The sequence below is a fragment of the Homo sapiens genome, chromosome 4, assembly GCF_000001405.40.
Source record: "Homo sapiens chromosome 4, GRCh38.p14 Primary Assembly".
In the NCBI taxonomy this organism is placed as follows: Eukaryota; Metazoa; Chordata; class Mammalia; order Primates; family Hominidae; genus Homo; species Homo sapiens.
This window is the reverse complement of record NC_000004.12, coordinates 52951744-52964662: the sequence shown is the minus strand read 5'-3', so window position 1 is coordinate 52964662 and position 12919 is coordinate 52951744. Positions and strand designations below refer to the sequence as shown.

General features: G+C 43.8%; 1 protein-coding gene across 1 annotated transcript in view; it reads left to right on the top strand.

The window, feature by feature from the left end:
- The window catches only part of SCFD2 (sec1 family domain containing 2), a 493080-nt gene that overhangs the window by 401399 nt on the left and 78762 nt on the right, over positions 1-12919 (top strand). The gene's annotated exons all lie outside the window — the stretch shown is intronic.

Below are 12919 nucleotides of genomic sequence, written 5' to 3'. Positions count from 1 at the left end.
CTTTGGCAATCTGAGGTGGATTGTAGTAGTTGACTATATTGTCTTGACATTGCAAACCCACTTTGTTTACCTGGAACCATTAATTCAGTGAAATCAAAATTCAAGACACTTAGCCTGCAACTCCTAGAATGTTCCTGGAAACATGGATGGAGATTACTTCAGTGCTGACAGGGCCGTTGGAAAAGACATTGGTTTTGGGAATATGTGAACCCCCTTTTGGTATAGTAAAATATCCTTTTCCTATTTTGGAAAAGTTGGACCTGTTGGCTAAAGCAATTAGCAGTTACTACTGATGACTTAACACTGGATTGGATTCAACCTGTGATATATGCATGTTTACCCTTCTGCCAAGCTGCTGTGCCTCCAACCAGCCCAGAACTTAAGCAACTAACAATAGGCAGAAATATTCCTGACCTAGTTTTTGTATCTTTACATGATGCATAGATAAAAATAATTTCTCTGTACTAATTAGCTTTAAAATCTTGGAACACAACCACTTGGAGGCTTTCCATTTCTAAAATTGGTGCCCAGAACATTGCTAAGTGGCCTGCTTCAGGAAAAGATGTGTTGGTCTTAATTAATCCATTATTGAGCTTTTCAATGGAAATAATTGAATACAATCTTTATATTATTCTTTTTCCCAATTAATGACAAGAGAAAAATGTAATTTGGCAAGGACAAATGTATGACTAGTCCTTCATTCTCATGTGTAATTTTTCTTAGGCATCTCTTGATTTTCAGGTATTTGATTAACTATTCAGATAATGACACAATATGGAACTTTTAATGTTGCGCAGCCATTGCTTCTTGTCCAACTTATGAAACCAAAAGGCAACATTTTATCCTCCCCTCACCTCTGTTTTTACCAATAGTGTATCTTTTGGAGTGTGAAACTGAGGCTGAGAGAAAGATGTAGGCTGTTGCTCACCAAATTTACAGAAGAGAATCCTGTCTCAAAGGAGCTATTTTTCCCCATTCCTGAGGAAAAATAAATAATCATGGCTAGAAAAGGGGAATTTGAGTTCATTTGATGGAGAGACTTTTGCAGACAGTTGAGTGTGTAACTGTACCTTATATACTCATATTTGAAGTAGTTCAATTTAAGATAAGGAACAGGGCAGGGTGGTTAGATTTAAAAACAAAACATCAAGTTAAAAATATTCTTTACAGACATTGGTACTCTCAGAAAGATACATTGCCTTTTCGAACCCGACTCCAAGATATGGGAAAGAGAAGACAGTCCAAGGACCTTACAGCAAATTCTTAATGCAAAAGAATGAAGTATATGTGAACATTTTTAAAGCAGTAGGGTGAGTGACCCCAGGATTCTCACTTCTCCTCCAACCTTACGTTGCATCAGGAGAAAACAACAGAGAGAAAGATTTTATTTTTTTAACCCTAAATGGTCCCCATAGTAATCTCACTAATAATTGATCAGGGCATTCTGAAAATAAGTTGCAAACTTGGGAAGATACAGTTTTTTTCAATAGAGGATAATTAAAATGCCTTCATAGAAATGGAGTACTTCTGGAGACTTCGACTTGGTAAAACTTGTGTTTGTTTAGTAATTCTTGATTTAAACAAAGCCAGGTTTATGTGTGTTGCGCTGGGGGAGGAGAAATAAGGAAACCAATGAGCTTATATACAAGTAAGTCACTTTTGTGTGGATTTGTGAGGCCTTGGCCCTTCTTTCTATTCCCTCTCCTTTTGGGATCTCATCCAAGCTAAAAACTTCAGCTGTGTCATCCACAGAGATAATTAATTTGGAAAAGAAAGATTCACAATGACCATGATAGTAAAATATTGGATAAGCTGTCTTGGGAAAAAGGGATTCGACTTCATTTCAAAGAAAGTCAGATTCCATCATCTGGGAGAGCCAGTCTGGGGCTAAGGCAGGTTTCCTACTGCTGATTAAAGCAGACGGACAGGGAGGCAAGAAGTTACAACTTTTGTCTACTTTCTTAGCCTGTTTCAGTAATGCTGCCCCCCTCTAAACTATTTTCATCATAGCATTAACACAATGCTCATTTTAACATATTATTTCAAAAAGAAAAAAATAGGAAGACAATCATATTTTGAGAATGTGGCCAAGGAGAATGACCTCTGCCACCCCATTCCCAGCCCAGCTATGCTTCTTCTTAAATGTGCTACCTTCAGGAGAAAATACTACAACCTACAGACGACATTTATAGGGAAGACTATTTCAACTCAATAAAGGGTATCGTTTTTTGTTAAAGCTATCTGGCAGCAAAGTTGGTGGCCTCAAGAGTTTGTAAGGTACCAGGAGTAAAATGTGTTCAGGTTGAAGGCCCAACTAACAGACTTTCTGGAAAGGAGATTTCTGCTTTGAGTTGGAGCTTCTGTGAAGTACCCTCTGAAGCTGCTTAGAACAGAGAGCTCCCTTCAGTGCCAAATCTGCATTTGCAACCTTGACCTACTTCCTGGAATCAGAGAGCCATAGAATTGGCTGGGACCTCAAAGCTTGTCTTGTCCAACCCATATGCAGGGAGATTAAAGAATTACCATGGCCACCTTTAAGCTCCAGTCACATTCCTTCAAAAGTCTTAGGTGAGAATCATCCCCACTCCACCAGTAATTTCCATCAGTGGAACCACTATCCTCTCAATTCAGAGGTGCAGGGACTCAACATCTTCTCTTCTCTTTGCCTGTCACAAGCAGTCACCAACGTGGGGTCAGTTCTTTCACAATGTCATTCCAAGCCTCCCTTTTCCATTCCTATCGTCACCACTGTAGTATTGCCTTCAGACTGTCTATAACTGCCTTCTGCTTATCCCAGATTCCAGTCTCACCACTTCTAAGCCATGACTGTCACCAGCTATTACCATCTACACAGAATCTGCAGGCTGAAAGTAACCTAAGAGCTCATCTTGCCCTCCTTCCTGTCTTGTGCATGAACTCTTACTAAAATGTTACCTCTGTCATCAGTATTTTCTCACCCATAAGTCGTCAGTGGCATCTCTTGCTAATAAGATATAAAGTTCTTATTCCATTGCTTTGCATTCATGCCTCCCCTCCCATCCTCTGCCAAGTCTGGCCACACCTCACTGTTTCAGCTGCTCAACATCAACCAGGGAGGCTGGTTTTCCCACTATTCCATGAACACCCTGACATTTCTCCTTCCAACTTACAAATGACAGCTAATCAACTCAAGCTAGCTTTTAAAAAGCGGATTAAAATAAACAGCTGATATGAAATAAAAGGCCAGGGATAGGTCTGGTTTCCTCAATCTTTGTCCTCAGGAGTCTGCCTCTGTCTTGGCTCTGCCTCTCTCAGTGTTGGCCTTATTCTTAGTTCATCCCTCTCTGGGTAGTAGCAAAATGGCCGCCAGTAGCTTCGGGATTACATCCTCTGAACAAGCAGCCCCCCAAAAAGGAGAACTTCCCTTTCCCATGGTTCCAGCAAAAGTCTCAAGATCATGTCTCAGACTGATCTGGATTATGGGCCATGCTGAGCCCTCACCGTGGCCAGATGGACAGAGTGCTTTGGTGAGCAAGGTAAAGTTCTGAATCACGGGAGCTGAGGGTAAAGGGTAAAGAAAATCAATATGCCAGAATCAAAAGAAGTGGGAGTGGAGACTGCAGTCATTCTCTGTGCCCAGAATGATCTGCCAACCCTCCTCAGCCTCTCCTGCAAGGTCCCGCTCAGGTCCCACTTCCCCCAGGAGGCCATTTTGTAGCCAGACTACTCACAATGACCATGAACTCCTACGATACTCACTTCCTGGAGCATTCCTAGTCTCTAAAATTAGGCGCTAAGGTCCTTAAAGGCAGAGACCACATCTTACACATCTTTGCATCTTTGTTTTCCTCATAGCAACTGGAACTGTACTTTGCATAGTTGATGTATAATAAATTTTTGTTGTTGTGAGTGACTTTTGGTACTATTAGCACATGTGTGGTGTGTGTGTGTGTGTTGTGTGTGTGTGTGTGTGTCAGAGAAAGAAATGAGGTGCGTGGAAAAGAAGATGTGCTTTGGCCAGGCACGGTGGCTCACGCCTGTAATCCCAACACTTTGGGAGGCTGAGACAGGCGGATCACCTGAGGTCGGGAGTTTGAGACCAGCCTGACCAACGTGGAGAAACCCCATCTGTACTAAAAAATACAAAATTAGCTGGGCATGGTGGTGTATGCCTATAATCCTAGCTACTCGGGAGGCTGAGGCAGGAGAATCACTTGAACCCGGGAGGCGGAGGTTGTGGTGAGCCAAGATCGCGCCATTGCACTCCAGCCTGGGCAACAAGAGCGAAACTCTGTCTCAAAAAAAAAAAAAAAAAGAAGAAGAAGATGTGCCTCTCTGCGGAAACATCAGCAGGCAGCCCATGGGCCTGGTGGCCGCATGACTAATACCAGTAATTGGCCATCTTGGTAGCCAGAGTTGAGGCCTCAGGTGAGGAGGTTTTGCATCCTTACCTGTTGGGCAGTAAAATCATGAAATTATAAGGTACTGGGTGTGGGTTATTTTGTCACTCTAACCTCACTTTCAGCAGGAAGGGACAAACATAAATAGGCCAAAAGGTAAGTTGGGGGAAAGACTGAAGATAATAGGGTGAGAGGGACATTTTTAGGGGAAAATAGGAACATAAATTCAGAGAAAAAATTAAGACCGTGGACAAGGTGACAAAACTTACTTATTCTCAGTAAAAATGAAGCCTATTTTCTCTCACATTGTTCACTTACAGCCTAATTTTACCTGTTTTCTTCTGTATAGGTGATTCAAGTGTGTGTGTGTGTGTGTGTGTGTGTGTTTCAATTTGGAGTCTCTCTCTTCCTCCCTGCCTCCCTCCCTCATGTACTGTCAGTGTTCTGTGATCCAGTGACCCTTTCCTCAGTAACTAGTTCCATATGTTTATTCACATCTATTTGCAAAACAACTTTAAGAAAATTATTTTAGCTAAGGCCATGTCATCTTGTTTTTGCATTCCTCTTAAATGAGCGGAATTCATTTGGCATGGTTTAAACATTTTAGAGGAGGAGGAATGTGCCTGTGTCGTATACGAAGCAAGAGCTTGTGTCATATAAAGTTGATCTAAAGAAGATGTTCTGGATATTTGGGGGTTAACTTTGGGCCCCATTGAAAGAGAATGGCTTGCATTCTTGAAGAGTCTCTAACAAAAGGAAACCATGGGCCATTTAATAATACAGCCCAGATGAGATTTAGGAATCATGTACACGGGGTTCTCAGACTTTAATATGCTTAAGAATCACCTGGGGTTCTTGTTCAGCAGATAGATTCCTGGGCCTTATCCCCAGAGATTCTGATTTTGTACATTTGCAATGGAGCCCAAGTAAGCACCCCAGGTGATTCTGGGTAGAGCAGCCCATACATCCCTCTTTGAGGAGCACTGACCCAGCCCAACCTCCTATTATCAAGCAGAAAGAAACTGCAGCCAATACTTGCAGTGACCTGTTGAACATCACACAGCCATTACAGATTGAGACTAGAACCGAAGCCTCTTGACACCCTGTCCAGAGCTTTGCCTGTCTGCCTGTCTTGTAAGAGGCATCATAGCATAGTGGTTAAACATATGGACTCAAGAGTCAGACTTTCTGGATTCAAATGCCAACGTGACCACCTCTGAACCATGAGGCACTCTGCAAATTACTTTTCCTCTCTAAGCCTTAGTTTCTTAATCAGTGAGGTAGGTGTAATAATACCAATTGTCAAGAGTTATTGGGAGGATTACACATGATAATACACATAAAGCACTCTGCATAATGCCTAATACATAATGAGTTCAGGTTAATATTTAAATGTGATTATCAGTGATTATCAGCTTATTGTTCTCATTTATGGTAAATTATCTCCATGTTTGAAACGTATTTACCTGTAGAGCTTTCCAAAAAGTGTAAGAGCCATTTGAGATGGAATGGCAAGGCATCTCTGGGGAACAGGAGAGGTGTACAGAGACACCTGTCCTCTGCTCTAGCCACACGTTTCCTCCCGTATTTCTGGCCATGGGTGGCTGATGTGGGACTCAACTACTCCCAAGTTAGAGTCGCTCCTCCGAGAGCTGTTCCTTTCTCCTTGTGCCTATGGTGGCTGTGAGATCTGTAGACATGGGGATGTTGGATCTGACGGTAAGCCGATGAACGTCACTTGTTGAGGGTGGGGGTGAAACCGTAATGAAAGGCCAGTCATGACAACATAAAAAATGTCACCATGTTATGGAATGTTACTGCTGAAAGGAACGTCAGAAAACATCTTGTCCGGCACTCTCCCTTCCTCCATTAATAAGTGAGGAAAGTACCTGATTTGAGACAGAGCTGGGATAAGAGCCCAGTTAATTCTTTCCTTCCCAGAAATAAACAAACACATGGAGCCTGCCTTATAGTATTAACAAAAGGGCCTCACAACTCAGTCAGATTTTAATATGTAAGCACAAGTTCATAACCTTGCAATAAAGACTGGAATCAAATGTTTACGCATGAGTGTATTTTCTAATTGGACTTAAAGTGTCTTTGTTTTTGCTTCCCACCTTGGGGAATAAGAATAACCCTGCTTAATCTAAAGGAACAATTTTGATACAATAAGAGAAAATGAACGTTTTTTCCTTTGTGTCTGACTATTTCTCCTGTACAAAGAACTTGTGTTCCAAGAAGTGCCTGGAGATGGCAGTTGGGATCATAATCACATTTACTGTTCAATTACACAAGGAGCCCGTATGTTAGGGTTAATGACACTCTCTTAAAAACAGCAACGACCAGCCCATTAATAAAGAGCAGCCCTTGCTGAGTCCCGCTTGAGGTGGTTAACTTAGATTTATATTAACAAATGAAAAATGTAAGTATAACCTCGGTCTGATGTAAACACATACCTCTATCAGCGTTAGTTTTTCATCTAAACCTGGGGTGCCTGGCCCAGCACTTAGAGCTACATGTTGAAGTCTTGCCTCTCTGGACAAAATCAAACAAGGGTTTAATCAAAGAAGTCAGGCACAAGGGGAGTACTTTTTCTGACATCTCCACGAGTAACCTCCCTCTCTTTTTCTCTGGTTGTGGGACCTGGTGTGCATCTGCCATTGTGAGGCCACAAAAGAGACAGGAACAAAGCCTTGTAAACGCACTTGGTGAGTGATGGCTATTGGAGCCGGTTAGTATGTTGGCCTCCGCCTTTGTGAGGGGTCACCCGGGATTTGTGAAAGTCCATAAACTGCCACGTCAGGAAGAACCACTGCTATTCGCAGCAACTGATAGCTGGCAGCAGCTGCCAACATTTTTTTTTAACTCAGGCCACATACCGCTCCTATCCCGCTGATTCTTTAAATGCTCCCCTCAGAGTGGCAGATGGTGACAGTTCTCCAGATGTTGCAGCTTTCATGTTCATCTGATGTTTATACAGTGTGCCAGGGTTATTTATTAAATAGAAGCACACACCCAGCACTTGCAGACCCAGGTGCATGCTTTGTAGACTGTCTGGCAGAACAGCTCTGCAGGGCTCAGGTGGAAATACTGCAACCAGACTGCGTTCTTTTTTTTTTCCAACCCTTATGTTTACAACCCCACTCCTTCTGCATGTCAGCAACATTTGCATTTGAAGCCCAGGGTGGTTTCTGGAATTGTGGGGTGTCTCTGATCCCCTTGCCCTCCTCTCTTGTGTGCCTTCAGCCTCCCAAGCCACATGAGTTCCCCAAAGCATTGAAGACCTGAGTTATGAAGGCATGTTTCATTCTGACCACAAATCGAATTTTGCCAGGATTTCAGCAACTCCAGCCCTGCTGTCTCATCCCTGTTTCTTTTCCCCTGCTGCTCACCCGGGGCAGCTCCCACCATACTGCAGAGGCTTGGGGGCCCAGGACTGGAAGATCCTTATCTGGTGGACATCTGTGCTGTTGCCTGCTGGGCACCCAGCCCTCCTTCTGAGAATCCTTCATGGGCAGCTACTCTTCCTCTTCCTCCACTTGATGTTAATGGGAACTGTCTTTTATAGTGCTTCACCTTTTTGCCCACAGGACTGGGCCATTTGGCTTTCTTGTCTAGGACTTTACTAACTGGAATGGAAGGAAGAGCATTCCTTCTTAATCATGAAGCTGGGAAGAGGTGCTCATGAGAGCAGCTGGCAGCCATGTTTTTATACTGCAAGGAAGGCACCAATCTGCAGGAGAATTAAACTGAGCCTTAGAGAGAAGAGACAAGAGACAGAAAGGGCCTGGTGGGTTCCAAGTCCTCGTTGCACTGTCCCAGGACCCTGGTGGCCACCTGCCCTTCCCTCAGCCTGGTTACTTGAGCCAGTACATTTTCCTCTTTTCCTTAAGATAATTTAAGCTGGATTTCTGTCACTTGCCATAAAAAGCCCTATCTAACATAGTCCCCTTGACCTCTGTCATGAAGCCACCTTGCTTTCCTCTGGTTCCTCAGCCACCGCTCCCCTTCCAGGCTCCAAGGGGAAGGAGGTTTGCCTTCTAAGTATGATGGGGAGGCAGGTAGGATGTAGGGGAGATGGCTGCTGCTCCAGGGATGACCATTCTGTGAGCTCCAGCAGTAGTCTTGGGCTTCTTCCAGATTTAGAGCTCTGGCTGTGGAGAAATTCATTCCAAGGCTCCTTGTGTTGCATCTCAGAGACCTCAAGCTGGGAGGGAGAGTGGGACCCCCATAGCTTTCTCTTCACCAACAAATCTGAAGTCCCACAGTGAAGCCTCCATGGTGTTGCTGACCACAGCAATAGGTATCTCAGCCTACTGTGGGACACCAGGTTAATGTAAGGGATTATCTTCTGTCCTTAGGAAGTATTCCCACAGCCAAGTAGCTGCCTTTCCTTCAATTAGAGCATGCTAACTTGGGCACGCAATGGATATTTTTCTCAGCCCCAAATCATTATTACTGACCACTGTCTTTGTCCCAAAGTCATCATGGAAAAGCTATTTTCTTTTATTTCTCTATGTATAAATACATTATTTTTTCTGTTCCACATTGCTGAGGTAGAATCTGCTGCTGGGGTCTTTTTATGAATGTCCTATCAGGTTGTGTTAACACAAAGCCAATTTTCAGAGGTATTTAAAGTAAGGCTAAGAGCAGAGGCTCTGGTGTTCAACTGCTTGGTTGGACTTCTAGATCTGTTACTTACCAGTGGTGTTCCCTGAAACAAATCACTTAACCCCTCTGTGCCTCAGTTCCCACGCATGAAAACTGACGCTAGGCACAGCACCTATTTTATAGAGCCATTGTGAGAAGTTAAATGTTATAGAAGACATGAAGGGCTTACCAGAGGGTCTACCACATTAGTACTCATTTAATAAATATTAGCAATAATAATCATTGTTTCACATGGAGGCTGTGAGATCTGTTTCTTATATTATAGTCTTTCTCTTTCTTCTGGGAAATGGGACTCAGCAAAATTAGTAGCAAGAAGACCAAAGGTGTGCTGGAAGAGAAAGATGCTGGGATGACCTCTTGCTCTTAGCACTGAACAGAAAACAGTTCTGAAAACCCACTGCCCTAAGCTCTCCTGTCCAATGCAAGCATAAAGGGAGCATCCTGGAACCCCAGCTGCCCACTGTGGACAGCTGAGCCCCTGTCTGCTCTCTATTTCCTCCTAAACAGGGCTGCCCTTGTGGGAGAGAGGACAAAGGTGAAGCTCGAAGGTGGGAGGAAAGTAGCCACCAGATGGAGTGAGGAAAGTCTCAAGAATGGGGTACTGTGTGGGAGACGGCTTGACGTCAGGAGCAGGAGGGGTGGGTGGAGGTTCTCTTTTGTGGATCAAAAGGACAGGGAGGAAAAGCAACAGATGAAAGAGGAGTGTGTACTCGTACAGATAGGAGCCACTTCTTGAGGGAGGACAGAGCCTCTTCCATGTCTCTTTTATGGCCTGGAAGAATCCCTCCTCTTCCCACTTTTTAGTCAGATGTGTACATCTGCAAAACCGCCAGCTCTTTGAGCTAATGTTTGTGCTAAAGGACATGATTAGATCCTGGACTTAATTTATGCATTTCTTTGATTCTGATGCAGCTGTGTAAGCCATGGTTATTTTATTTACTTTTCTCTGGACTCACCCTTTATGATTTTTCCTAGACTGCTTGTTCCTTTCTCTTGCTGCTTTTCTGAGCTTTTGATCTGTTTGCCCATGTGGATTAGGTGGCGGAATATGAAATTCCTGCTTTTCAGCCATTTTTGACCTACCAAAACAGCAATTTCATTTGGCCCAACTGAATATTTTCAAGTTAAGATTACAACTGTGAATTCCCAAGGGAGCTGGATTGTAGCCACCCGCCCGACTTCCTCACCTTCCAGTGGCATTCCATCTTTGGAACTGAGTGCCTGTAATCTTCTATCATCTTCCTCACCTTCCACAGATTTGAGGAAGATGGGAAGATGAGGCTAAAGACATACTTGATAGAAGAATACAGGCACTCAGACTGGCCTGGTATGGGGCCTGCTTCCCACCCATCAAGCCCGGTCCTCCACAGGCAGGTGAGAGACCAAAGACTTGGGGACAACCTGCCACTGAAGAGGAGGTTGTGGTGACAGAAAGCAAGTTTACTGTCAAGAATGGAAAATGGATGTGGGAGCAGCTCATGCTTAGATGGCAGCCCTCTATGCCAGGCACTGCTCCCTGTGCTGCCTGTGAATGTCACAGCAACCCCATGCCATGAGTACTTGGAATGTCCCCATCTGCCATGAGGGAGCAGAGGCACAGAAAGGTAAGGCAGCTCACCCACAGTTACATAGCTAGTAGGTGGCAGAACCAGGATTTGAACCCAGGCAGCCTGGCCCAGGAGTCCATGGTCTCAGCCACTCCACTATAAAATGGTGTTTGACCAAACAAGAATCAACAAGTGCCCATCTGTCCTTTATTGTACACTGCTAATCTTATTATTTATCAAATATTCCTGCCCAGCCTTTTCATTTCAGTGCTGTCCTGGCATTGTTGTTGGCTTGGATGAAGTAGTTTTTCTGGATAAACTCTAATGTAAGTCCCTTGGTAATTATCTTCTTGATGATTAATTCTCCTGGGATTTTACCACCATCCTCTGCACACTTGTGCAGCCCTTGACACTTGACAAAGCAGTTTCAGGTTCATCTTCTCATTCATTCCTCACAATCCCTGTCTCCTGAATAAGGAAACTGAATTCACAGGGCGCTGCTAAAGAAATGCTTTGACTCCCCTTGACACCACCTTCAGGGGCTGCATGACTTTAGAGAGCGATCTAACCTCCCTGAGCTTGTTTCTTTATTCCTAGATCGGGAATATTCATAGCTGGCAGGGTTGGTGTCCAGCGCTGTCTGTGAACTTGTCTATCTTGTAGACATAGTAGAGGTCCCTTCCCTTTTTGGTCTACTTGAGGCTGGCTATCCCATGTTAGTCCAAATCACAGTCATTGGCATAAACTGACACCAGGTCTATAGGTTATAAAGCAAACTAACCTAGTTACACATTCTTTACTCTATAGTTGGAAACTACTGTAGTTAAATGGCTGCTTTTAGAGTGTTTCATTTGCCATGTGGAGGCAGTGATAGTAACTCTCCCAAGGACTCACTGTGAGGACTGAGGAAGGTAATGCACCGAGTAGTACCAGGCACTCTGTAAATACTCAGATAATGGAGCCATCTAGGTGTTGTAGTTGTTGTTACTGTTATTCGTTTGTTTATACTTTTCCAAGGAGCCTTCATATTCACCCTACCCAGCAGAAAAAGTTGCTGGGCCTATGGGACATTTTAAAGTTATAAACTTTTCTGCTATCTGTGGCTACTAAAAAGATACTTTTACTAGATTTCAAGATGTTAGCATTCATTTTATCACTGGTTCCCTTCTGTTTGGTGACTTTCCCAGGGAATGGTTCAGTCACATGAAGATTTCTATTTTTATCTGGGAAAAGGTGGGGGAGAAGGTAAGTGACATTTAGGGAATGAAAGGATCATCATTTTTCTAATGGACCTGTTTCCAACATGTGTCCCCTTATCTCTAACAGATTGTAATGCTGTAAACCTTTCTGTTCCACACTAAATCATGAGATATGTATCAGGAAAGAAAGGGGCCTTCAGCAATCCATGCTGGGGTCACCTAGATGTTGCCCATATGTGATTACTGCCTATTTCAAAAGAAATTAAAATTTTAAAATTAACTATTGCAGTAATAATGGAAACATTTTAAAGCTTATGTTTACTATTTGTGGGAGAGAAGATAAACTTTTTTCTGGAGTAAAATTAAACGGGCCTTGTTGAACTTACTTGCTTTCTCTCTCAGGAGCTGTCAGCCTTTCTAAGGTGCCAAGTCTGAAGCTATTCATTCCCTTGGAGCAGACCGCAGGGGCCTGCAGAGAGGAGGGCAGCTGCCTTTAGATTGTCCCCCAGAAAGATGCCTGATGGTGGTGTGTTACTGTCTGGGCCTCACGTGGGACCATTTGGGGCAGAGGTGTGAGAGGGGATGGGGGTGTGAGAGGGGATGGGGGTGTGAGAGGGGATGGGGCTGTGAGAGGGGATGGGGAGGTGAGAGGGGATATGGTAGGGAGTGGCTTTGGGCTACTACTCAGACAGACGAACAGAGAGAAAGTAGAAGTGTGGCTTTCCTGCTTTCCTCCTGTCTTCTGCCTCTAGTCCAGGCTTCTCTTACCAACCTGGCATCTGAGCTCATCTCTAGGTACTGTCTCCGTGTACAGATATCACTCTGTGGCCTGCCACTCCATCATCTCTTCGTTCTTAAGATACTGATCACCTAGGGGTAGAGCGCCTTCTCCTCTGCACAGTGTTGAAATGCATTTTTGTAATCCAGCTCCCTTTTTTAATCCTCCATCGCCATTAAGTTTTGCTGCAGTAACAAATTAACCCAAAAAGTTCAAGGACTTAATTCAATTAAGACCTTATTTCTTGCTGATTTTACATGTTCAATATGGCTCAGTGAGGTTTGTGTTTCACATACTTTCTCAAAGATCCAGGCTGATGGAGGCTCAGACAGCTCAAAGCTGCAC